The 27,855-nt window shown below is 41.4% G+C and overlaps 1 long non-coding RNA gene and 1 pseudogene across 1 annotated transcript in view; one reads left to right on the top strand and one right to left on the bottom strand.

Moving 5' to 3' along the window:
* Nucleotides 1–17,747: 17,747 nt before the first annotated feature.
* Nucleotides 17,748–27,855, bottom strand: part of LINC02752 (long intergenic non-protein coding RNA 2752) — a 68,227-nt gene continuing 58,119 nt past the window's right edge. Inside the window, exons 6-8 of the long non-coding RNA NR_187402.1 lie at nt 21,355–21,452; nt 18,108–19,032; nt 17,748–17,996 (exon numbers count right to left, since the gene is read on the bottom strand). This is a non-coding gene — a long non-coding RNA (long intergenic non-protein coding RNA 2752). The remainder of the gene's footprint in view (nt 17,997–18,107; nt 19,033–21,354; nt 21,453–27,855) is intronic.
* Nucleotides 18,880–19,749, top strand: HMGN1P22 (high mobility group nucleosome binding domain 1 pseudogene 22; annotated as a pseudogene).

Here is a 27,855-nt window from a genome sequence, read left to right as displayed (position 1 = left end):
TCTCCCAGCACGCAGCTTGAGATCTGAGAACGGGCAGACAGCCTCCTCAAGTGGGTCCCTGACCCCCGAGTAGCCTAACTGGGAGGCACCCCCCAGTAGGCACGGACTGACACCTCACATGGCCGGGTACTCCTCTGAGACAAAACTTCCAGAGGAACGATCAGGCAGCAGCATTTGCAGTTCACCAAAATCCACTGTTCTGCAGCCACTGCTGCTGACACCCAGGCAAACAGGGTCTGGAGTGGACTTCTAGCAAACTGCAACAGACCTGCCACTGAGGGTCCTGTCTGTTAGAAGGAAAACTAACAAACAGAAAGGACATCCACGCCAAAAACCAATCTGTACATCACCATCATCAAAGACGAAAGGTAGATAAAACCACGAAGATGGGTAAAAAACAGAGCAGAAAAACTGGAAACTCTAAAAATCAGAGCGCCTCTCCTCCTCCAAAGGAATGCAGCTCCTCACCAGCAATGGAACAAAGCTGGATGGAGAATGACTTTGATGAGTTGAGAGAAGAAGGCTTCAAACGATCAAACTACTCCGAGCTACAGGAGGAAATTCAAACCAATGGCAAAGAAGTTAAAAGCTTTGAAAAAAAATTAGACGAATGGATAACTAGAATAACCAATGCAGAGAAGTCCTTAAAGGACCTGATGGAGCTGAAAACCAAGGCATGAGAGCTACGTGACGAATGCAGAAGCCTCAGTAGCCGATGCAGTCAACTGGAAGAAAGGGTATCGGCGATGGAAGACGCAATGAATGAAATGAAGCGAGAAGAGAAGTTTAGAGAAAAAAGAATAAAAAGAAATGAACAAAGCCTCCAAGAACTATGGGACTATGTGAAAAGACCAAATCTACGTCTGATTGGTGTACCTGAAAGTGACAGGGAGAATGGAACCAAGTTGGAAAACACTCTGCAGGATATTATCCAGGAGAACTTCCCCAATCTAGCAAGGCAGGCCAACATTCAAATTCAGGAAATACAGAGAACGCCACAAAGATACTCCTCGAGAAGAGCAACCCCAAGACACATAATTGTCAGATTCACCAAAGCTGAAATGAAGGAAAAAATGTTAAGGACAGCCAGATAGAAAGGTTGGGTTACCCACAAACGGAAGCCCATCAGAATAACAGTTGATCTCTCGGCAGAAACTCTACAAGCCAGAAGAGAGTGGGGACTAATATTCAACATTCTTAAAGAAAAGAATTTTCAGAGCCCTCAGAAATAATGCTGCATATCTACAACTATCTGATCTTTGACAAACCTGACAAAAACAAACAATGGGGAAAGGATTCACTATTGAATAAATGGTGCTGGGAAAACTGGCTAGCCATATGTAGAAAGCTGAACCTGGATCCCTTCCTTACACCTTACACAAAAATTCATTCAAGATGGATTAAAGACTTAAACGTTAGACCTAAAACCATAAAAACCCTAGAAGAAAACCAAGGCATTACCATTCAGGACATAGGCATGGGCAAGGACTTCATGTCTAAAACACCAAAAGCAATGGCAACAAAAGCCAAAATTGACAAATCGGATCTAATTAAACTAAAGAGCTTCTGCACAGCAAAAGAAACTACCATCAGAGTGAACAGGCAACCTACAAAATTGGAGAAAATGTTCGCAACCTACTCATCTGACAAAGGGCCAATATCCAGAATCTACAATGAACTCAAACAAATTTACAAGAAAAAAACAAACAACCCCATCAACAAGTGGGCAAAGGACATGAACAGACACTTCTCAAAAGAAGACATTTATGCAGCCAAAAAACACATGAAAAAATGCTCATCATCACTGGCCATCAGAGAAATGCAAATCAAAACCACAATGAGATACCATCTCACACCAGTTAGAATGGCAATCATTAAAAAGTCAGGAAACAACAGGTGCTGAACAGGATGTGGAGAAATAGGAACACTTTTACACTGTTGGTGGGACTGTAAACTAGTTCAACCATTGTGGAAGTCAGTGTGGCGATTCCTCAGGGATCTAGAAATAGAGATACCATTTGACCCAGCCATCCCATTACTGGGTATATACCCAAAGGAGTATAAATCATGCTGCTATAAAGACACATGCACACGTATGTTTATTGCGGCACTATTCACAATAGCAAAGACTTGGAATCAACCCAAATGTCCACCAATGATAGACTGGATTAAGAAAATGTGGCACATATACACCATGGAATACTATGCAGCCATAAAAAATGATGAGTTCATGTCCTTTGTAGGGACATGAATGAAATTGGAAATCATCATTCTCAGTAAACTATCGCAAGAACAAAAAACCAAACATCGCATCTTCTCACTCACAGGTGGGAATTGAACAATGGGAACACATGGACACAGGAAGGGGAACATCACACTCTGGGGACTGTTGTGGGGTGGGGGGAAGGGGGAGGGATAGCTTTAGGAGATATACCTAATGCTAAATGATGAGTTAATTGGTGCAGCACACCAGCATGGCACATGTATACATATGTAACTAACCTGCACATTGTGCACATGTACCCTAAAACTTAAAGTATAATAATAAAATAAAATAAAAAAAGAAAAAGAAAAAGAAAAGAATTTTCAACCCAGAATTTCACATCCAGCCAAACTAAGCTTCATAAGTGAAGGAGAAATAAAATACTTTACAGACAAGCAAATGCTGAGAGATTTTGTCACCACCAGGCCTGCCCTAAAAGAGTTCCTGAAGGAAGCACTAAACATGGAAAGGAACAACCGGTACCAGCCACTGCAAAAACATGCCAAATTGTAAAGACCATCAAGTCTAGGAAGAAACTGCATCAACTAATGAGCAAAATAACCAGCTAACATCATAATGATAGGTTCGAATTCACACATAACAATATTAACTTTAAATGTAAATGGGCTAAATGCTCCAATTAAAAGACACAGACTGGCAAACTGGATAAAGAGTCAAGACCCATCAGTGTGCTGTATTCAGGAAACCCATCTCACTTGCAGGGACACACATAGGCTCAAAATAAAGGGATGGAGGAAGATCTACCAAGCAAATGGAAAACAAAAAAAGGCAGGGGTTGCAATCCAAGTCTCTGATAAAACAGACTTTAAACAAACAAAGATCAGAAGAGACAAAGAAGGCCATTACATAACGACAAAGGGATTAATTCAACAAGAAGAGCTAACTATCCTAAATATATATGCACCCAATACAGAAGCACACAGATTCATAAAGCAAGTCCTTAGTGGCCTACAAAGAGACTTAGACTCCCACACAATAATAATGGGAGACTTCAACGCCCCACTGTCAACATTAGACAGATCAACCAGACGGAAAGTTAACAAGGATACCCAGGAATTGAACTCAGCTCTGCACCAAGCAGACCTAATAGACATCTACAGAACTCTCCACCCCAAATCAACAGAATATACATTCTTTTCAGCACCATACCACACCTACTCCAAAACTGACCACACAGTTGGAAGTAAAGCACTCCTCAGCAAATGTAACAGAACAGAAATTATAACAAATTGTCTCTCAGACCACAGTGCAATCAAACTAGAAGTCAGGATTAAGAAACTCACTCAAAACGGCTCAACTACATGGAAACTGAACAACCTGCTCCTGAACGACTACTGGGTACATAACGAAATGAAGGCAGAAATAAAGATGTTCTTTGAAACCAACTAGAACAAAGACACAACATACGAGAATCTCTGGGACACATTCAAAGCAGTGTGTAGAGGGAAATTTATAGCACTAAATGCCCACAAGAGAAAGCAGGAAAGATCTAAAATTGACACCTTAACATCACAATTAAAAGAACTAGAAAAGCAAGAGCAAACACATTCAAAAGCTAGCAGAAGGCAAGAAATAACTAAGATCAGAGCAGAACTGAAGGAAATAGAGACACAAAAAACCCTTCAAAAAATTAATGAATCCAGGAGCTGGTTTTTTGAAAAGATCAACAAAATTGATAGACTGCTAGCAAGACTAATAAAGAAGAAAAGAGAGAAGAATCAAATAGAGACAATAAAAAATGATAAAGGGGATATCACCACCAATCCCACAGAAATACAAACTACCATCAGAGAATACTATAAACACCTCTACGCAAATAAACTAGAAAATCTAGAAGAAATGGATAAATTCCTCGACACATACATCCTCCCAAGACTAAACCAGGAAGAAGTTGAATCTCTGAATAGACCAATACCAGGCTCTGAAATTGAAGCAATAATTAATAGCTTACCAATCAAAAAAAGTCCAGGACCAGATGGATTCACAGCCGAATTCTACCAGAGGTACAAAGAGGAGCTGGTACCATTCCTTCTGAAACTATTCCAATCATTAGAAAAAGAGGGAATCCTCCCTAATTCATTTTATGAGGCCAGCATCATCCTGATACCAAACCCTGGCAGAGACACAACAAAAAAAAGAGAATTTTAGACCAATATCCTTGATGAACATTGATGCAAAAATCCTCAATAAAATACTAGCAAACCGAATCCAGCAGCACATCAAAAAGCTTATCCACCATGATCAAGTGGGCTTCATCCCTGGGATGCAAGGCTGGTTCAACATATGCAAATCAATAAATGTAATCCAGCATATAAACAGAACCAAAGACAAAAACCACATGATTATTTCAATAGATGCAGGAAAGGCCTCTGACAAAATTCAACAACCCTTCATGTTAAAAACTCTCAATAAATTAGGTATTGATGGGATGTATCTCAAAATAATAAGAGCTATCTATGACAAACCCACAGCCAATATCATACTGAACAGGCAAAAACTGGAAGCATTCCCTTTGAAAACAGGCACAAGACAGGGACGCCCTCTCTCACCACTCCTATTCAACATAGTGTTGGAAGTTCTGGCCAAGGCAATCAGGCAGGAGAAGGAAATAAAGTGTTTTCAATTAGGAAAAGAGGAAGTCAAATTGTCCCTGTTTGCAGATGACATGATTGTATATCTAGAAAACCCCATTGTCTCAGCCCAAAATCTCCTCAAGCTGATAAGCAAGTTCAGCAAAGTCTCAGGATACAAAATCAATGTATAAAAGTCACAAGCATTCTTATACACCAATAACAGACAAACAGAGAGCCAAATCTTGAGTGAATTCCCATTTCCAATTGCTTCAAAGAGAATAAAATACCTAGGAATCCAACTTACAAGGGATGTGAAGGACCTCTTCAAGGAGAACTACAAACCACTGCTCAAGGAAATAAAAGAGGATACAAACAAATGGAAGAACATTCCATGCTCATGGGTAGGAAGAATCAATATCGTGAAAATGGCCATACTGCCCAAGGTAATTTATAGATTCAACGCCATCCCCATCAAGCTACCAATGACTTTCTTCACAGAATTGGAAAAAACTACTTTAAAGTTCATATGGAACCAAAAAAGATCCCGCATCACCAAGTTAATCCTAAGCCAAAAGAACAAAGCTGGAGGCATCACGCTACCTGACTTCAAACTATACTACAAGGCTACAGTAACCAGAACAGCATGGTACTGCTACCAAAACAGAGATATTGACCAATGGAAGAGAACAGAGCCCTCAGAAATAATGCCGCATATCTACAACTATCTGATCTTTGACAAACCTGACAAAAACAAACAATGGGGAAAGGATTCACTATTGAATAAATGGTGCTGGGAAAACTGGCTAGCCATATGTAGAAAGCTGAACCTGGATCCCTTCCTTACACCTTATACAAAAATTCATTCAAGATGGATTAAAGACTTAAATGTTAGACCTAAAACCATAAAAACCCTAGAAGAAAACCTAGGCAATACCATTCAGGACATAGGCATGAGCAAGGACTTCATGACAAAAACACCAAAAGCAATGGCAACAAAAGCCAAAATTGACAAATGGGACCTAATTAAACTAACGAGCTTCTGCACAGCAAAAGAAACTACCATCAGAGTAAACAGGCAACCTACAAAATTGGAGAAAATTTTTGCAACCTACTCATCTGACAAAGGGCTAATATCCAGAATCTACAATGAACTCAAACAAATTTACAAGAAAAAAACAAACAACCCCATCAACAAGTGGGCAAAGGACATGAACAGACACTTCTCAAAAGAAGACATTTATGCAGCCAAAAAACACATGAAAAAATGCTCATCATCACTGGCCATCAGAGAAATGCAAATCAAAACCACAATGAGATACCATCTCACACCAGTTAGAATGGGAATCATTAAAAAGTCAGGAAACAACAGGTGCTGGAGAGGATGTGGAGAAATAGGAACACTTTTACACTGTTGGTGGGACTGTAAACTAGTTCAACCATTGTGGAAGTCAGTGTGGCGATTCCTCAGGGATCTAGAACTAGAAATACCATTTGACCCAGCCATCCCATTACTGGGTATATACCCAAAGGATTATAAATCATGCTGCTATAAAGACACATGCACACGTATGTTTATAGCAGCACTATTCACAATAGCAAAGACTTAGAACCAACCTAAATGTCCAACAACGATAGACTGGATTAAGAAAATGTGGCACATATACACCATGGAATACTATGCAGCCATAAATTGATGAGTTCATGTCCTTTGTAGGGACATGGATGAAACTGGAAACCATCATTCTCAGCAAACTATCGCAAGGACAAAAAAACAAACACCGAATGTTCTCACTCATAGGAGGGAATTGAACAATGAGAACACATGGACACAGGAAGGGGAACATCACACTCCAGGGACTGTTGTGGGGTGGGGGGAGGGGGGAGGGATAGCATTAGGAGATATAACTAATTCTAAATGACAAGTTAATGGGTGCAGCACACCAACATGGCACACGTATACATATGTAACAAACCTGCATGTTGTGCACACGTACCCTAAAACTTAAAGTATAATAATAATAAAATTTAAAAAAAAAGAAAATCAGAAAAAAAAACAATAAATACATTTTAACCTTGTGCTGTATCCTAGGATTTACACTCACCTCATTTGTGGTTAAACAATAACTTCAAGGAAGAGAGAAACCACTGGTAACTCTTGATCTTATTGTAAACTTCTGCCCTTCTAATTGATCCATGCCATAACAACTAGCAATGGGCATTCAGAAAATAATTACAAGAGGCATGCATTTAGTGACTTAGATACAGGACACTTAATTTTCACAGCTTTACAAAGGAGGGGCAATTATTCAGACCTTGTAGATCCTGGGCCACTTTCTTATTGAGGCCTAGTAATAAACTCTCATTTCATACAGTTGATTAAAACAAAGTTCTCAAGGTAACTAAAACATCTGAGCAAAATTTCTTGTGCCCATAACTGGTCAAGGATGGTCTCTATCTCCTGATTTTTGATTTTGAGTCTATTATGAATACCCTGGTCATGATGATCTTAGGCACATAGTAATTTATCAATAAATATTTGTTGAAATAATTAACCAAATGATTCAAAAATGTTATTTCCCATTTTTAAGAACATTTCCTTTATTATCTATTACTTTTGGATATTTCATCTAAATGTATGTCAGCTGGTTGTAGGTGTGCGGTCTTATTTCTGGGCTCTCTATTCTGTTCCATTGGTCTATGTGTCTGTTTTTGCACCAGCGCCATGCTATTTTGGTTACTATAGCCTTGTAATATAGTTTGAAGTTGGGTAGCATGATGCCTGGAGCTTTGTTCTTTTTGTTTAGGATTGTGTTGGCTCTTTGAGCTCTTTTTAGCTTCATATGAATTTTAGAATAGTTTTTTCTAGTTCTATGAAGAATGTCACTGGTGGTTTGATTGGAATAGCATTGAATCTAAATTGCTTTGGGAAATATGGTCATTTTAATGATATTGATTCTTCCTATTCATAAGCATAGAATGTTTTTCCATTTGTTTGTGTCATTTCTAATTTCTTTGAGCAGTGTTTTGTCATTCTCATTGTAGAGATTTTTCACCTCCTTGTAGTTGTATTCCTAGGTATTTTATTCTTTTTGTGGCATTTTTTTTTTTTTTTGAGATGGAGTCTCACTATGTCACCCAGGCTGGAGTGCAGTGGTACAATCTTGGCTCACTGCAACCACCGCCTCCCTGGCTAAAGCGATCCTCCCACCTCAGCCTCCTGAGTAGCTGGGACCATAGGCACATGCCACCATGCGCAGCTAATTTTTTGTATTCTTTGTAGAGACAGGGTTTCACCATGTTGCCCAGGCTGTTCTCAAACTACTGAGCTCAGGTGATCTACCCACCTTGGCCTCCCAAAGTGCTGGGATTACAGGCATGAGCCGCCATGCCCAGCCTTTTTTTGTGGCAGTTTTGAATGGGATTGCATTTCTAATTTGACTGTCGGCTTAGCTGCTGTTGGCGTACAGGAATGTTAGTGATTTTGTATCCTGAAATTTTGCTGAAGTTGTCAACTTAAGCTTTGGGGGCCAAGACTATGGGGTTTTCTAGATATACAATCATATTGTCTGCAAACAGGGATAGTTTGACTTCCTCTCTTCCTATTCGGATGTGCTTTATTTCTTTCTCTTGCCTGATTGCCCTGGCCAGAACTTCCAATGCTATGTTGAATAGGAGTGGTGAGAGAAGGAATTCTTGTCTTGTGCCTGTTTTCAAGGGGAAAGCTTCCAGCTTTTGTTCATTCACTATGATGTTGGCTGTGGGTTTTTCATAGATGGCTCTTATTATGAGGTATTTCCTTCAATATCTAGTTTGTTAAGAGTTCTTAACAAGAGGGGTATTGATTTTTTTTGAAAGCCTTTTCTGCATCTACTGAGATGATCATGTGGTTTTTGTCTTCAGTTCTCTTTACGTGAGGAATCACGTTTACTAATTTGCAGATGTTAAACCAAACTTGTATCCCAGAGATGATGCCTACTTGTTTGTGATAGATTAGCTTTTTCATGTGCTGCTGGATTTGTTTTGCTAGTATTTTGTTGAGGATTTTTGAATCAATGTTCATCGAGGATATTGACCTGAACTTTTCTTTTTGTTGTTGTTGTGTCTCTGCCAGGTTTTGGTATGAGGGTGATTCTGGCTTCATAGAATGAGTTGAGGAGGAGTCTCTTCTCCTCAACTTTTTTGAATAGTTTCAGTAGGAATTGTACCAGCTCTTTGTACATCTGGTAGAATTCAGATGTGAATTTGTCTAGTCTGGGGCTTTTTTTGGTTGGTAGGCTATTTATTACCGATTGAATTTCAGAACTCATTATTGGTCTGTTCAGAGATTCAATCTCTTCCTGGTTCAGCCTTGGGAAGGTGTATGTGTCCAGGAATTTATCCATTTCTTCCAGATTTTCTAGTTTGTGTCACAGAGGTGTTCATAATATTCTCTGATGGTTATTTGTATTTCTGTGGGGTCAGTGGTAATATCTCCTTTGTCATTTCTAATTGTGCTTATTTGGATCTTCTCTCTTTTCTTTTTCATTAGTGTAGCCAGCAGTCTATTTATTCTTTTATTTTTTCAAAAAACAGCTCCTGATTTTGTTGATCTTTTGAATGGTTTTCATGTCTCAATCTCCTTCAGTTCAGCTCTGATTTAGTTATTTCAAGTCTTCTCCTAGCTTTGGGGTTGATTGCTCTTGGTTCTTTAATTCTTTTGGTTTTGAATTTGAGATCCTTCTAACTTTTTGATGTGGGCATTTAGGGCTATAAATTTCCCTCTTAACACTGCCTTAGCTGTGTCCCAGAGATTCTGGTATGTTGTATCTTTGTTCTCATTAGTTTCAAAGAACTTCTTGATTTCTGCCTTAATTCTATTATTTGATCAAATGTCATCCAGGAGCAAGTTGTTTAATTTCCATGTAAATGTATGGTTTTGAGTGATTTTCTTCATATTGAATTGTTTTTATTGCACTGTGGTCCAAGAGTGTGGATAGTATAGTTTCTGTTTTGTTTTTTTAATTTGCTGAAGATTGTTTCATGTCCAATTGTGTGGTCAACCTTAGAGTATGTACCACATGCAGATAGGAAGAATGTATATTCTTCTGGTTTTCAGTGGAAAGTTCTGTAGATGTCTATCAGATCCATTTGGTCCACTAGTTGAGTTCAAGTCCTGAATATCTTTAATTTTCTGCCTCAATGATTTCTCTCATATTGTCAATGGGATGTTGAAGTCTCCCACTACTATCGTGTGAGAGTTTAAGTTTCTTTGAAGGTCTCTAAGAATTTGCTTTATGAATCTGGGTGCTCCTGTGTTTGGTGCACATATATTTAGGATATTTAGGTCTTATTGTTGAATTGAACCTTTTACCATTATGTAATGCCCTTCTTTTTCCTTTTTGATCTTTGTTGGTTTAAAGTCTGATTTGTCTGAAATTAGGATTGCAACCCCTGCTTTTTCGTGTTTTCCATTTGCTTGGTAGATTTTTCACCATTCCTTTATTTTGATCCTATGGGTGTCATTGTGTGTAAGATAGGTCTCTCGAAGACAGCATACCATTAGGTTTTTCTTCTTTACCCTGCTTGCCACTCTGTGCCTTTTAATTGGGGCATTTAGCCCTTTACATTCAAGATTAGTATTTATATGTGTGTATTAGATTTTGTATTCATATTGTTTGCTGTCTATACCCTGACTTGTTTGTGTGATTGTTTTATAGTGTCACTGGTCTGTGTACTTAAGTGTGTCTTTGTAGTGGCTGATAAGTCTTTACTTTCCATATTTTGTGCTTCTTTCAGGAGCTCTTATAAATCAGGTCTGATGGTAGCAAATTCCCTCAGAATTTGCTTGTATTAAAAAGATCTTATTTTTCCTTCACTTATGAAGCTTAGTCTGGCCAGGTATGTAATTCTTGGTTGAACTTTCTGTTCTTTAAAAATGTTGAATATAGGCCCCTAATCTCTTCTGGCTTGTAGGGTTTCAATTTTTATATGTCAAAAAATATTCTTCTTCTTCTGATTTATTTCAATCTGTTAAATATATTTAAAAAACATTTTTAGCTTGCAGGCCACACAAAAAAATGCTGCTGGCCAGATGTGGCCAGTAGACTGTGGTTTGCCAACACCTGATCCAGGACCTACCCAATAAAGGTATTCTTCTGATGGCTCAGATAGCATCTTCCAAAGAAATAAAATGGATATTTATTCTGGCCTTTCTTCTGTTAAATTAGCATCTCTTAGGTGATTAGGCTATCAGGATATTACTCCTTTGTTATAACAAATAGAAAGAAGGGTATTCACTTATTCACAGATTCCATAGTGTCATGAGCTGAGACTAACCTTAATAGATAGCATACCTACTATCTAATTAATGTTGTAAAACAGGACCACAAATCAAGTGCTTCTAAAAACAAAGTCATTATTTTTTTGTAGACAGCCTCCAATATTAAACTGACTTGTGGCCAATAACCCTAAGAAACAAGTTCACAAATTCAAGTCACAGAGTCGTATATTCGGCAAACAATTTAGCATGGAAAGGGCACAAGGAAACTCTATTTTTCAAGGTTAAATATTCCATGGGTGTTTACCAAAATATTTTGTGAACAAATTGGGTATTTGGCCCACCTGCTTTAAATTTTTTCCAAGCAAAAATTATTGCTGTTCGTGCTCTGATGGAGAATACTGGGGGCTCAATTACCCTTTTGTCTGTGCACTGGAGTGTATCCAAATGCTTCCTGAGGAAAATCTTAGCCTGCCTCTTTGCTTTCTATTTATGTCTGTGTCCTTGCCAGGCTCCTCAACTTTCCTAAGTAAATGCTGATCCTGAGCCTGCCAGCTGACCAGTGAGGCAGACCTGCTCCATGCTCAAGTCAGCAGTACAGCAAGCTGCATTGCATGCCAGGTAGCCCTGGCACCTGGAAGCCCAATCGAGCAGTTAAAAGACTCCTGTGCGATTAGAAAATTGTCAGAAAGAAGCAGTCCATGAATTTTTCTCTTCCAGTGGTTCTTAAGCTTCACAGGGTTCAGAGCCACCACTGATAATCAGATGAATCAGATGAAAACTGATATGGTTTGTTTCTGTGTCCCCACCCAAATCTCATCTCTAGTTGTAATCCCCACATCAGAGGAGGGGCCTGGTGGGAGGGGATTGGATCATGATCATGAGGGCAGTTTCTCCTATGCTGTGTTCTCTCTCTCTCTCTCTTTTTTCTCTCTCTCTCCTGCTGCCATGTAAGACGTGCCTTGCCTCCCCTTCACCTTTCACCACGATTGTAAGTTTCCTGAGGCACCCCCAGCCATGCAGAACTGTGAGTCAATTAAGCCTCTTTTCTTTATAAATTACCCAGTCTAAGGTCATTCTTTGCAGCAGTGTGAAAATGGACTAATAAAAAAACCATAGGCCCTCTTCATGGAAAAAGAAATTGTTTTAATTTTTGGAGTCCTTATGTAAGAATCTGTTCTAAATCCTCTCGAACACATTCCAGGATGGAGCCAAGTGGCAAGGATGCTTTGGCCCATGACTGTAGAGGTGATTTTTCCTGAGTGGTACCTAGGGATAATTCCATGAGTTTCCATTTGTGGAAAATTGAGTATTTACTATAGGGATATTTTTGAGGACATTGTTCATTGTATCACACATGCCCTCCAGCTACAAATTCACAGGAGGAATTTCTCTCTCAGTTCCACTCCTTTGCTTCTCTTAAGGAGTTGTTTTTGTTTGGTTTATCTGTTTACTTTTATTTCTACATATTGTGAATAGTATAACTTGGTGGCGCTTCACTCTGGCCATACTTTAGAATCACTAGTAAGCTTTTATAACATACAGATGCCAGCCTAGACCAATTAAATCACTGTCTCTTGGAGTAGGGCCTGGAAGTATTTTTCAGAAGCTCACTAGTGTCCCCAACATACAGTCAGGGTTGAGAACCACTGATCCCTGGAGAGTCCTGCTCCTTGGCATTGGCCACTAGAAAACTGAAAGCCAGGTATGCTGGCTGCTAGCAGCAAATTCACTGGGCCTTGTGGCTTCCACTGGTATCATCTCTCACCCCAGACACCATCCTAGCCTTCAGTTCTCATTTTCCATTTGTCAACACATTTTAAATATGACTTTATCTTGTGGCAACATGTTCTGTGTTAGTTGGAGACTGTGGGCAGCCTACCTGAGCTTGCTTAAACTAAACATAATGAGAGGAGTCACTGTAATATCATGGGGTTATTTCATGGCCACAAGGAGAGGAAGTATAGTTGGATCAGAGGAGGAACAAAAACCAGGATTGAGAAAAATATAAGAAACCAAAGCATTCCCTCTCCTAGTCTCTTACCTTTCTCTTCCCCAAGTACTCTGTCTGCTTTCTCCTACGTATCTGTTTCATTCTGTCTTCCTCCATAAACCAGCTTTCTTTTCTTCTCTGTGAAAATAGGTCTCAGTCAAGCCAATTAGTTGAAAGAGACTGCTATCTCTAGGTACTAATTTCAAAATCTCAGGAGAAAGACTGCAATTGGCCCATCTTGGGTCAGCCATCTCCACCAGTTCTGTTCCGCTATGGAAGGAGGGTTAATAAGGTGTAAACATGATTTCCAGGCCCCCCACTATAATTGAGAGGGACAGTTCTTAGAGGAGGGAGGTCACAGCCTAGCAGATGTCCCTAAATATGGCTTAAACAGCAGTTGTAAACCACTTTGAGACTTTCTGCAATAAGAAAGAGTATGAGCAAATAAACTGCAAAGCTCAACGTGAATTACATCTGCATCTATCTGAGAATTTGGCCTTAGGATCATTATAACATTAGAGAGACAATAAGAAACTTTGTACAGAGTGCAAATGGGACCAGTATGTGCTGAGGGGCCAGGTAACATGGACATTTTGCATTTCTAACACTCCTCAAACTCACTGGTACCTGCAAAGGTCCTGTCTGAAGCCATTTCTGAATCTCACTTAGATAACAAACCTGTATGTCAAATCCATGTCAGAGGTGATTCTGAAAAACCTTAGTCATGGCCCTTTCATGGCTCTAGGCCTCACTTGCCAAAACCGCTTTAGAAAAATATTCAAAATGGAGAGCAATAATTTCATGTTAACAGACATTTCGGTTCACCAGGGTTCAGCTTACAAATCTCATGATGCTCAACACTGCTACACAAATTTTAACAAATTTCAAAGTCACTGCAGCAGAGTCATGATTAGACAGGCCTTCATTTGTCAGACTAACATCAAGCAACTTAAAAATGAAGCTGGTAGCATTAGCTGTAGCAGATAATCATCAGAAAATAGCTTACGTTTTACAGCAAAAATAAAAATAGTTGTCACTGTTAATATTTGCTAAGTGCCAGGACCTGTGCTAAGAAATTACTTTTCTTAATCCACATCATAACACCATAGAATATAGGGTAAGTTTTTATTAACTTTTTATTGAAGCATAACTTACTTTTCTAGGGCACATAGATGTTGGCCCCAATGAATATTCACAAACTAAACACACATGTAACCAGCACTGAGATCAAGAAATAGAACATGGCAAGCACTCTGAGGTCCCTATTTGGGTTCCTTTCCAGTTACCATGCCTATGCAAGGGTGACTGTTGTCCTAATATCTAGCAGCATGGATTAGTTTTGTCCATTTCTGTTCTCTATACAAATGGAATAACAAATAGGTACTGTTTCGGGTCTGGCCTTTTTCACTCAACATTATGTCATCTGAGATTCATTCACATTGTCACATGACTACAGACCATTTTTGCTTATTTCTGTATGGTATTCCATTATGTGAATAAGACAAAATTTATTCAGTCTACTGTTTTTGGACATACGGGTAATATCCCGTTTTATTTTTATTATTACAAATAGTTCTTCTATGATCATCCTAGCACATATTGTTTTGGTGATTACTTCAGTGCATTCCTATTGGGTATATAACTAGAAATGAAATAGCTGGAGAGTAAGACATGCATATGTTCCGCTTTATTAAATGCTGACACTTTACCAAAAGAAGTGTACAAATTTATGTTTCCACCAGTAGTATAGAAGCGTTCACTTTGCCCCACATTCTCACCAGCCTTTGAAACTTCCTTTCTCCTTTGTAGCCTTCCGGTGAGTGTGCAGTGGTGCATCGTGACGTTCATTTGCATTCCCTTGATGATTAATGAAGTCAGGTACCTTTTCACATGGTTGGCTTTATTTGCTTATTTATTTTTCCACATGGATGTTTTCTTTGAGAAATGTCTACTCAAGCCTTCTGCCCATTTTTCTACTAGGTTATCTTTTTCTAACTGATTTGTAAGAGTTCTTCATATATTCTGGATACAAGACCTTTGTGGGATATATGTGTTGAAAATGTCTTTTCATTTTTGCATTACATTTTTACCCTCTTATTGATGTCTTTTGAAAAATCAAAGTATAGTTCGTCCTTGTATTTTTCTTTTTCTGGTTAGCAATTTTTGTGTCCTTTTAAATAAGTGGGCTTTGCTTACTCAAGGATCATGAAAATGTTATCCTATGTATTCTTCTACAACTTTATTATCTTTTACATTTAGAGCTGCTATCCATCTGTTTTTGATTTTGTATTTGGTATGAAATAGGAAAGTAAAGATATATTTTTCATATAATTGGTGGAGCAACGTGTAACAAACAAACTATGCCTTCTTTCCCATGCACTGCCTTAATCACAAATCAAGTAATATGAGTCTATTTCTGGACTTTATTTTGTACCATTGGTAAGTTTTTCTAACTTCATGACAGTTCTATATTGTCTAAATCACTACAAATGTATAACGGGCCTTGTTAATCAGCTTATCAACTTTTGCAAAAAAAATACTGTCAGAATTTTACTGAGATTATATTGAATCAATATATTAATCTGGGAAGAAATGACATCTTAGGACAATGTTGAGTTTCCAATTCATGAATATAATATATCTTTTTATTTGTTGAAGTCATTTTTAATTTCTCTCAATAATATTTTGAAGTTGTACATCATTTATTATATTTAATCCTAGGAATTTGATGTTTATTGATGCTATTATAAATATAACATTTTAATTTTTATTTGTTAGTTGCTGATAGAAATACAGTTGATTTTTGTATATTGACCTTGTATCCAACAACTTTACTAATGACATTTATTAATTCTAATAGTTTGTGTATTAATTGTCTAAGCCTCCTGCAATAAATTAGCACAAATTTATTGGCTTAAAGCAATAGAAATTTATTCTCTCATAGCTCTAGAGGCCAGAAGTCCAAAATCTTGGCTACAATCAAGGTGTCAGCAGGGCCATACTCCTTCCAGATGCTCTGGAGGAGAATCTGTTTCTTGCCTCTTCCAGTTTCTGGTGGCTCCAGCATTCCTTGTGACCACATCATTCCAATCTCTGCCTCCATCTTCACATGGCCTTCTCTTCTGTCTGTGTGTATGACCAACTTCAGCCTCCGTCATATAAGGACACATGTGATGGTCTTTATGCCCCACCCAAATAATCCAGGATCATCTCCCCAACACAAGATCTCTAACTTAATTACATCTGCTATAGGGTAAATGCACCTAATAGCAATGATTTAAACATACTCTTAGAATGACCCTGTGTGGCAGGTGCACCTGAATGTTTGTGCTGAGCTAGGGAATCCAGTAGTGGCCAACTTGGAGATTCATTCCTCTTCTATCACAAACATGAGAGCCCCCCGGCCAGTCCTGTGGGACACAGGCTGATCTGTACAGGGGACTGAGGCCTTGAGTTTTGGGTTAAATAAAGATTACCAGGTGGAGGTCATTAGAGGGAGGCTGTTAAGTGAAAATGCTGTATAAAGCGCATGATGGAGCGACATTTAATAAACAAACTATGCCTTCTTTCCTATGCACTACCTTAATCACAAATCAGGTAATTAGATATATGAGTCTATTTCTGGACTTTATTTTGTAACATTGGCAAACTTTTCTAATTTTATTACAGTTAGAAAGGAAGTTGTGGTTCTCCTGCCCAGGTCACTGCCACTAGGCCATGTGGTTATGCTGTCCTGTCCACTGCCACTGGACCATTGCTGTAGGTAAGGCAGGTCTCCTGCCCAGCCCACTGCCACTGGACTCTCTCCCCTGTGTGTGAGCTCCTAATAGAACCCCACATCTGGGTTTCTTCTTTGGCCTTGTGAACCTGGTGCTTTCCCTACTGAGGCAAATCGGGGGTTTGGCACAACATTTGCCAAGAAGCTTTTTTCAAATAAGGTAGCATCTATAGTTTCCAGAAATTAGGACCTGATATCCTGAGTGGGAGGTGGGGTTGGAGGTACATTTTTCAGCCTACCATAGTTTGCAGATTATTTTAGATTTTATAAGCACACAATCATGGCATCTGTAAACAACAGTTTCATTTCTCCAACATAGTTTAGCCCCTTTTTAGATACTGTATAAGCAAACTATGATTTGGGCAAGTTATGGTAATTTACACAAGATTCCAGTATCAGGGCTAGCATTTGAGCTCAGGTCTGGCAGACTCCAAAGTCTGAGTACTTAACCACTACTTTGCACTGCCTAATATGAGTCTAAGTTCTATTACTGGCAAAAAGAAATATTAGCAGCAGTTCTATGCAAAAGGCATTCTAAGCAATTGATTTTTTCTGAGAACTACCTATCTTCTTAGATGTAAGAGATAACATTCAGGAGTGCTTAAAATCTTTGGGATAAACATTCATATTACAAAGTTTAAAACAAGACTTTGGAATAATAATTTTTTTAAAAGACCTAGGTTTAAGTCCCAGACTCACCACAAACTGCTATTATGGCCTTGAACAAGTTACATAATTCACGTGAGCCTGTTTCTACATCTGTAAAACTGAGATAATAACCATGGCACTGTGTTATTGGAATACTTAAGAAAATGCATGTGCATTTGCATAGTGAATGGTCAATAAATAATTTTTAGCTGCTATTGTGGTGTTATTATATTTATTCATTTATCAAAAACACATTTAGTAGCAAAATGCCAAAACCAAAAAAACAAGACTGTCTTTGTCTACAACAAACACCACAACAAATAATTGCCACCTGGGCTAATGAGTAGAATGATGGAGACAGGAGGAAACATCGTGGAAGTGAGGAACAGAGAGCAAGTGACTCACTGTGGGTAGCAATGGGGGTCAGGAAGAGCTTCCCGGAGAAGGCGATGCCTAAGCTAAAACTTGAAGGAGAAAGCAGAGAAGACAGGAAGAGCATTCCAGGCAAAAGGACCAGCATGTGGCACAGGGAGGCCTGAAATTACTCTTCCAGCAGAGGAACAAAACTGCCTTACCTGCCTTGGAAGAAGCAGAGTTCAGGAACTGGAGGCCAGAAACGCTGAAGTTCACTCTATTCAGCTGGGAGAGGAAGATCAGAGTCACCTGGAGGAGGTATCTGGCTTTAGAGCCCACAGCTTCAGAGCTGGACTGCTCATCAATTAGAAGGTGCCAGTGATGCCTCCTGCGGAGTCCCTGGCGCCTGCTTGTACTGTAGAAACCATTTGGTTCTTCAGCACGAATCTCTGTGTTCCTGGGGCTGCAAGAGCAAGCCAGCCTCAGTCACCACAGCTGATCCCTCTCAGGTGCAAGCTGATTGCTGCCTGACTGGAAGTATGCTGCGAAGGGTACGGGGTGGTGGGGGTGGAGGCATGTCAAGCCTGGAGGGGGTGAGGAGGAGCTAGACCTCCCACAAAGCCTCTTGAGCAGTTCTTCAGATAGATGCGGGGACACAGTGCCCACTAGGTTCTATGTGGGAGAGCACTGAGGTGTCAGGGCACATCAGGGATGTGGTGTCCAATACTAGACACCACAGTCCGATGGTGAGTAGACTCAGCACCATCTTACCTGAGGAATAAGAGTTTAACTAGGAGCAACAAGGAGGATACCGACAGAGGCCCCAGGAGGAGCAGCCTCTTGAATTTCTTGAATCTCAGGGAAGACAGATTAGGCTTTCCTGTTCTGCACCAGAAGGGTAGAGCTAAGTCTTCAGATGGAAACTACGGAAAGGGAGATGTGGGCTGTCAACATAAATAATTGTTTGATCATTAACGAATACTGAGCCCAGCCTCGCGAAGCCTCTCCGCGCACTGCAGCTCAAAAGCACCCGGCTCGCTCTCTTCCCACTGCCGAAGCCCAAGAGGAAGGGCAGTTGCGCCGAAGGGGCAGCAGCCAAGGAAGAGCCCAAGAGGGGATCGGTGCAGTTTTCAGCTAACTCCGCTCCTGCAAAAGGGGAAATGAAGCCAAAAAGGCATCAGGAAAGGATACATCTTCAGACAAAAAAAGTCTAAACAAAAGGGGAAAAGGGAACAGGGGAGCAAGGAGAAAACAGGCCAAGTGGTTAACCGAGAAACTAAAGAACATTTATCTGCAGAAAATGGAGAAACAAAAATCGGGGAGAGCCCAGCCTCTGATGAAGCCAGAGAGAAAGAAGCCAAGTCTGATTAATAGCAGGTACCCTGTCTTAGCGGTCCCCGTCTCCCTTCTTGTACAATCCAGAAGAGTATTTTTATCAACTATTTTGTAAATGCAAGTATTTTAGTAGCTCTAGAAACGTTTTTGAGGGAATCCCACCTCATCCCATTTTTTAAGTATATGCTTTTTAAGAAGTAAAGTCATTTGCTGGCTGTTTATTTTTTGGTACAACCAGAAGATAGTGCGGGATATTGAATTATGGGAGGCTTTGACTGTCTTGGGTGTTAGCTTAACATTCCATAGATGGGGGTTAGTTTTTATATGCTCTAATATAAAGCATACTGAATGGCAACGTAGAGTCACAGTCCTGCATTTATGTCTCGGACATTTTAAATTACTTCTAGTGCCATGTTGTTTTTCAGTAGAATTGTTTCCTAAAGAAAGCCAGCCCTTGAACATGGCTCTCCCTGTCAGAATTGTGTGCACTCTGTACCTTCTTTGGTCGCAGCCCTGTTTCCCTAATAAATTTGTTCATGTGCTGTGGAAGACTGAAAATTTGAGTATGTGGTATATATGCAATTCAATTTTGAATTGGTGGGACTATGTAACAGTTGATCAATATGTGAAGATACTGGTATTTGATAGCCTCTTAAGGAAAAATTGCCTCCAAATTTTAAGCTGGAAAGTCACTGGAACAACTTTAAAAAGGAATTACAATAACGGCTTTTTAGATTATTGGTATGTATGTTAAGAATTGTGTACAAATTGAAATGTCTGTGTACTGATCCTCAATGCAACCAATAAAATCTCAATTATGAAAGAAAAAAAACAAATATTTATGGAATACCTAATATGTGCCAGACACTATTCTAGGCCCTTTACAGCAGTAGGAGTTATCCAATCATTGAATGAGATGACTTGAAAGGTAGTGAGCTCTCTGTCACAAGAGAAATTCAAGCAGAGGCAGGTCGATTTCTTAGTGGAATGTTGAAGGAGGAATTGAAGTCTGGAGTAAAAAATCGACCCAGCTGGCTTGCAGTTTCTCTTCAGCCTTGTGACTATACGACATCTGCTTTCTAAAGATTGGAGACACCCACATACATTTCCTTTAGCGTTCTGTGTTTAATATCTTGGGGAGGCAAAGGAGAAAGGTAGACACCATCCTCTTTACCCTGTGGTAAAAGGTAAATGTAGGAAAGTGGAATGACTTTATCAAGGTAATACAGATGATAGGGTCATGCAGAAGCAGGACTAGGGTCCAGGGTTTCTGCCTCTGTCTCCAACATTTGTTCCTTGTTCCCCTCTTTGTCACAGCCCTGAAACGCACTGGCCTGCTGGGTGAGGTCCTGAAAGGGTCAGAGCTCCAAGGATTACTAAGTAGGGTAGTGTCAGTCCCAAGCCATGCTGTGGATCTAGGGTTACAGCCAGGGCGGCCTCAGGGGCAGGGGCCACATACTGGGCTCCCTCCTCAGGAGGTTTAATGCTCTGTGGTTGCCATCTTGAAATTCTTAAGACTTGTATCTTCGAATTTGTGTTTTGTGAGGTCTCATGGGACAATGGGGCACTCACAGGGGCTTAGGACCTCAGCTTGCTTGTGGTCCTACCTCCTCCCACCTTTCCAGGATGGTTGTCCGCGGGGGCTGTGGGGCCTCTCTCTCCCCCAGGCCCCACTGCACAACTGTGGCTGCTCTCCACCCCAGACAGGACACAGGGAGAGTCGGGGCCCCAGCACATACCCACAGTCTTGGTAGTGAGGCTTGGCAGCACCCCTACACACCTGCTGGATGGCTAGCCAGAGGCCCCATCTCCAGGGAATTAAATCTCACCTACCCAATCCAGGTAGCAAGCACATCCCAGCACACAGTTTCAAAAATCCAGGGAAGCCAACTGCCATGGGTTGGAGGGGTGAGAGCCCATGGAAAGGAAAGATGCCTGGCTTAATTTCTTCAGACCCACAGCCCCAGTTGCCTCTGGCTGCCTCGGGCAGGGTTCCTTGGCACAAGCAGGAAGAGTGTGCATGCCTCTTCCATCAAGGGGCAGAGGTCCGGGGCACTTATGAGGCTCCACACTCCCCTGCAAGTGTCCCCACACCTGGAGCCCTCCCTCAGGCAGCTACAGCCAGCAACATACCTTGCTGGGGGGAGGGGTTCCTCTCTCTTTTCCTCCCTTCCAGTGCAGGGCTTCGGTTTGTCTCTTCTGGACAGCTCAAGGCACCTTTTGGGGAGGGGCTACAAAATGCAAATTGTATAAGTTCAGTAATTCCACATACACATCAAGTGCTTTTATATTTGCGTTTATATTTGCCCTGCACGATGTAAAGATAAATTAAAATTCATGCTAATAATTCAAAACTTTAATTTTTCTTAGAATGACATTAAATAACAAATGAAAAACACCATGACAAGCTGGGAGAGAGACTGCAGAAGAAAGAAAAAAGCTTTATCTATAAGAGCACTTTTTTTCTTGCTTTTTAACCCTGAGGCTCCACATTTTCATTTTGCACTGAGCCTCACAAATTATGTAGCTAGCTCTGGTTACAACTTGCTCCTTGCCTAAGCCAACCCATGTGCAAGCTAGGCAGCTGATCCTGAATCCAATGGCTAGAGCCCAGTCTCACAATAATGTTACTGTCTGTGAGTGCCCTGTGGTGACTCACAGCTCAAGACTGTATATTTCTTGCTTGTCTGAATGCAAAGTAAAAGTGGCTATTTTTATAGAACAAAAACTCAGGGAAAATATGGAATTCAGCCCATCTATATGCACTGCTGCACCTGAGACACTCAGCACACATAATAAATCTGTCTTTGGAAACTTGCTCCTTTACAGTTTTGACATAGATAAATGACAAGTATTAAATCTTAAGGGAAAAGAACCAGCTGCTATAGTTGTTGAATTACTGAGACAGAAGCCTCCAGGCCTGCTGATTTGAAATATCAGGGAGAGGCCTCCTGGAAAAGGGTATAGGTGAGCTGGGAGAATGTCTCTTCTATTACCAACCCCGAGAAACTCAGGGCCACATCTAACATCTGACTCTGAACTTTGTAAGCCATTATCATAACCTTGGACTTTGACCAGTAAGAGGACCTTTTTAGGGGGACACATTTTATGCTAAACCAATGGTTCAGAACTCGGATTGTCTAATGAAATTTTTCTTTAGACAGAACAGATACCTGGTGAAAGAGCAAAGACTAGCAACAGACATATTTGTTCACTGTTAAGCATGACAGCATTGGTGGGAGTCAAGGGTGACAATAGGGATAATTCCAGAGTGTCAGAGTCAAACATAGCTAGTGGATGATGTGTCCTTTCACCATGGTGTTCCTCTGCCCCAGAGTGGAGCTCTTTGAGGGGGGGCTTGGAACCTTTGTTTTTACCTCCCCTGGTGCCCCGCCCCCCCCCCCCCACCCCACCCCCTACATTATCTGGCATGGAGTGGTGGCTCAGGGCACTTTTCAAAAATTAAATTCAGTCAAGTGCAATGGCTCATGCCTGTAATCCCAGCACTTTGGGAGGCCAAGGTGGGTGGATCATGAAGTCAGGAGTTCTAGACCAGCCTGGCCAATATGGTGAAACCCTGTCTCTACTAAAAATACAAAAAATTAGCCAGGTGCAGTGACGCATGCCTGTAGTCCTACTTACTCGGGAGGCTGAGGCAGGAGAATCACTTGAACCCTGGAGGCAGAGGTTGCAGTGAGCCGAGATCGTGCCAGTGCACTCCAGCCTGGGCGACAAAGTGAGACTCCATCTCAAAAAAAAAAAAAAATTAAATCCAACTCCTTCCTTGTTTAGCAAGAAAACCACGGCCCAGAGAATTTTGATGCTATCCTCAAAATCACACAGCTAACAAATAGTAATGCTAGGACCAGAACTGAGACCTCCTTACCCCAATGGGAGCTGATCTAGTCTATCACACTTGGAGAGAAAATTGGTGTCATTTTCTTTGAAGATTATATATAATCCATGTGGATAAAAAAGAATCTCATAGAATCTCAACAATGAGCTGCTGCCAAAATGTTGGCAGAATGAAAATGAGGAAGAGGATGGGATCCAGGGCGGGGCCCAGCCAAGCAGGGTAAGGCTGACAGTTGCTCAGACAAGGAAGCTGGCCTCTCAGCTCAGGGGGACCTGCTATGGTCCCAACCAGCACCCCAGGATGAGAGCTCTCTGCACGAAGAGGACACCTACTCACAACATTGCTTAAGTGCACCTTCTGAGATGAGCACTCTTCTCTGAGATATATGTGGATTAATTCATTTCATCCTCATCACAAGCCTGTTAGAAGGGCACTATTATTAATTCCACTTGACTGAAACTGAGGAAGGTTTTCCAGTGAGAGAGAGAGTCAGGCTTCGAACCCGAGAGTCTGAACTCTCTCTTAGCCCTTGTTGCTCAGCTGCCTGTCTGGCCTGGGGAAGGGGAATGCTCACCAGAAATAGGGGAGAGTCCTTCAGAAGAGGGAACGTGTGACTCCTCAGTGGCAGCAGGAGTGCAGCACCTGCTGTTGGGAAGGCCACTCCTGGGAGCGCCTCCCCCACCAGCTCTGTTCCTGGACTCCTCCTTTCCCTGGAGCCACTGCCAGAACTCATCAGACTCGGGAGCTGGATGCAGATCCTTGCATACACCTCATTCCATTGTCCCTCCAATGAAAAAGAGGCAGCACGTTGTTCTCACAGAGCCCCCAGCCCCTGGGCTTGGCTTCTCCCACTTACTGGCTGTGAACTTGGACAGCTCACTTACCCCCAGGCCTCAATCTCTTCATCCATAAACTGGATACCAGCAATGCTTCCCAGGTGGCTGTAGTGAGTTACCATGAATGAAAGCATGTTGTAAATTGTTTAGTGTTAGCCAACATTCAATCCCTTTCAGTTTATTTATAATGAGGACCAACTACTTGAGAGCTTGAGAGCGTGGACTCTGGACCCAGACAGATACAGGCAAGTTACTGAACCTTCCTCAATTTCAGTTTCCATATCTGTCAAATGGGCATAATGTGCTGGTACCAGCTATAGGGATGATGGAAGGCACAAGCAAGATGATGCATGAAAAATAATAGTAAAACGTTTATATGCCTTTAAATAAGTTAATATATAATAAGATCACTGACAATCACCTGGCATAGGTTGGTATTATTAATTCTTTTCAAACCAGGGAGAAAAAGACAATGCATTGTAAAATACTTAGCTTTGCTTCTAGCACATGATTTGTGCTCAATAAATACAGGCTACTAAGGTAATGCTATCACTGGTGTTGTTATTTGTTATCAGTAATAGTATTAACATAAAGGGGCGAGTGATTCCTATGCACATCAGGGCTCAGCGGCACTGCCTTGAGACTCAGCAGGACTCTGCCTTTCTCAGGCTGGACTTTATTCTGAATTCCCCATTGTCTCAAACCTTGAAGGACTTGTTTCATGAACCTGCAATCTATGCCATTGCACAAGACCCTGTGTTCAGAAGGGGCTGTGCTCAAAAAGGCTCCATGCTTGGTTTAATGCTCTGCTATTGCTGTCTTGAAATTCTTATTTTTCAGTAAGAGGCCCCACATTTTCATTTTGCAGGGAGCCTGGCAAATTATGTAGCCAGTCCTGCTGCCTGCTACCCTGGGACCCTCTAGGACTGGTGCCTAGAATCTACCTGGTCCCTGCCACCTTCCTTCCCTCAGCCTGATTCCACTTCCTGCGTCCTGAACACCATGTTTCTAATGCACACAGACACCATCTTGACCCTGACTGCAGCTCTAGCAAACTTGTGAACTGAGGTACAATTTGGCAGTCAGACCACAGGGATTTGTCCTCCCAGAAGCTAGACTTGCTAGAACCATACCTGAATTGCCATACCTTTTCTTTTCTTGTAGGAATCACCTTCTTAGCATTTAAATGTGCTAGAATTATGCACACTATTTTTAACTTGCCTCATCCCATTAAATTCTTCCTATAGCTGATAAGGTATATATTATTTTTCTTGTTTTACAGAGAAGGAAACTCAAAAAGTTTAAATAGCATGCCTAAAATGAAATAACAGATCAGAAGTCACACCAGAATATAAACACATGGGCGTTCAAATCAACAGCCCTTGGGCCGTCCTATCTCATTGCACTCAGTGGTCCTTTTCTAGGTCTAAACTCAGTTCCCTCCCACCAGCAAACCTACCTGCTCAGGGACTGAGATCTCTGCACACTGGCCTCCCCACACCGTTTCTCTGGAGGTCCCCACTCTCCCAGGGTTGATGTAGGAGACATTCCACAGAAGCACACAAAGGGTCTATACATTAGGTCGTTGGGGCTGGGTGACAAAGAAGCCATAAACTTGGTGTCTTAAGACAAGAGAAATGTATTCTTTCACAGTTTCAGAGCCCAGAAGTCTGAAATCAATATCACTGGCCCTGAAATTAAGGTATTGGCAGGGTCTTGCTCTCCCCTGGAGTCTCCTCTTCCAGCTTCTAACGGCTGCTGGCATTCCTTGGCTTGTGGCCATATCACTCCCATCTTCAAAGTTTACATCTTTGTGTCTCTCTCTGCACCATCTTCCTGTGGCCTTCTGTATTTGAGTGTCAAATCTCCCCCTGCCCCTTCTAATAAGGATCATGTGATTGCTCTCAGGGCCCACCTGGATAATCCACATGATCTCTCCACGTCAAGATTCTCCATCACATCTACAAAGGCCCTTTTTGGCCACATAAAGTAATAATCATGGGTTCCAGGGATTAGGAGGTGAATATCTTTTGGGAGAGGTGGGTACTTTTGTAGCCTACCAAAGTGGGCAGATATGCTAATAGTTGGGGGAGCTGGACAGAAAAAGAAAGGATTTCTCAGCCCTTTCAGAAGCATTCCTGAGCAGCCTTCAAGCAGCACAGCCTTCCCAAGAGAACTGGCTCCACTATACTTAGTCTGATCCTCTGAGAGAGGGACGGTTTGTGAAGAAGGAGGCAAGGAATCCCTGGATAAGGCCCTAAGGGCTAAAGAGCGAGAGACTGGATCTTCTAAGGAGAGCAGAATCGAAAGTTAAGCTGTCCTCAGGAGTTTCTGTATTCCTTTCTCACATGCTTTTTCCAGCTTTGCAGGTAAAATATGTGTAAAAACCATTGACTCTATTAAGAATTCTGCTCTGGGACCACTGTGTTTTCAAATAGTGGCTAATAAACTCTCTTCCTCCCATTCTCCTTTGAGGCTATTATTCTTTTTCCCTCTCTCATTACTCAGCTGGAAACCTTCTGTTTCTGCTTCCCCTCCTTATGCCTAGATTATCCCTCATCCTTCCATGTTGGGAAAATCACTCCCAACCCAGGAAACCCTGAGGGGCAGCATTCAGTCATGCTCAAAAGCTAAAAAGTACAGTAACTATTTCCTGAAAGAAGAGGGGCAAGCATGACTAGAAAACAGATGCTCTTGAAAAGGCAAAAACCCCTCAGGAAAAGCCTCAGCTCATACCTGAATCTGTGCAGTAGGAGGCTCCCCTGATCGACTGCACCTGGGCAGTGCCCCAGTTAGCTGGGGGGTGGGAGGGACAGTTAAACTCAGGGCCTTTGGTGGAACACAAAAGGAGGCGCTGAGAACTGAGGCAAACTATGGAATGAACTTGTATATTATTTTATATATGCTTATATATCCAGAGTTCAGTGTTAACACTGCGGCAGATGAGAGGTAAGGATTTAACCACCAGCCCCTCCATATTAGACACTGGTGCAGCCTTAAATCAGGAGTGGCCGGGCAGGGTCTCATCTAATATTGTCCAGCTCCGTTGTTTGATGCCGTCCCATTTGTTTCACCTTCCTTTCTGGGCCGGGATAACCTGGTCTTCCACATCCTGGCACCAGGGTGGTCATACTTACTGCTCATATTTCTTTCTTCAAAGAGCAGACTTTGTCAGCTAAGCTCCCGTTGTTCTCACTAAACCTGACCCTATTAGCTACTACACTAGTTTGTGCAGGAATTTTAGCTTTTCCTTGATTAGAATGTGTCTATATCAGTCAGAGCTGGACCAGAGAAGCTGAACTAGTAGGAGAGATAGAGAAAGGGGGGAGGGGTAGTGAGAGAGAGAGAGAGATAGATTAAGGGACCTTTTACAGGTAATTGACCTATGCATTGTGGGAGCTGGTTAAATAGTCCATGTAAGGCTGTCTCTGTGTCTGATGGTGGAGCTTAAAGACCACAAGGCAGGCATCAGGAAGGGAGGATTATGAACAGGCTGGAACCCCACAGGCACAAGCTGGGACCTCACAAGGACAGGCTGGAACCTACTATTCTTGTTGCCTCTGACCTTGGTGAAGAACTCCTACATAGACCAGACCCTCAACCCTGAGCTAAACACTCACACCTGGCCCAGCTATTGCTTCACCAAGGAGGTGAGTCAGCAGGTTAACAACAGTGTACATGTGCTACATGATGGCTACTGCCTCCCTTTTGCCCCCAAAAAATCCTTAGAGGATCTCCTAGTTCACCCACCTTAACCAGAAACACATGTAAAGGGAATCATTGCATGTCAGCAAGCCAAACTGACATGTTACAAAGCCAGCACAGTGTCTTAGGTCAAATGTCCCAGGAAACAGACTATGAGATGGAGATGTACATGCAGGAGATTTACTGGGGTGTGTTCTTGGGAGTGAAGGAAGCCAGGGGCGGGGCAGAGGGAGAAGG

Source organism: Homo sapiens, chromosome 11, assembly GCF_000001405.40.
Source record: "Homo sapiens chromosome 11, GRCh38.p14 Primary Assembly".
NCBI classification, from domain to species: domain Eukaryota; kingdom Metazoa; phylum Chordata; class Mammalia; order Primates; family Hominidae; genus Homo; species Homo sapiens.
The sequence above is the reverse complement of the archived record's forward strand: the minus strand, read 5'-3'. Positions and strand labels throughout refer to the sequence as shown.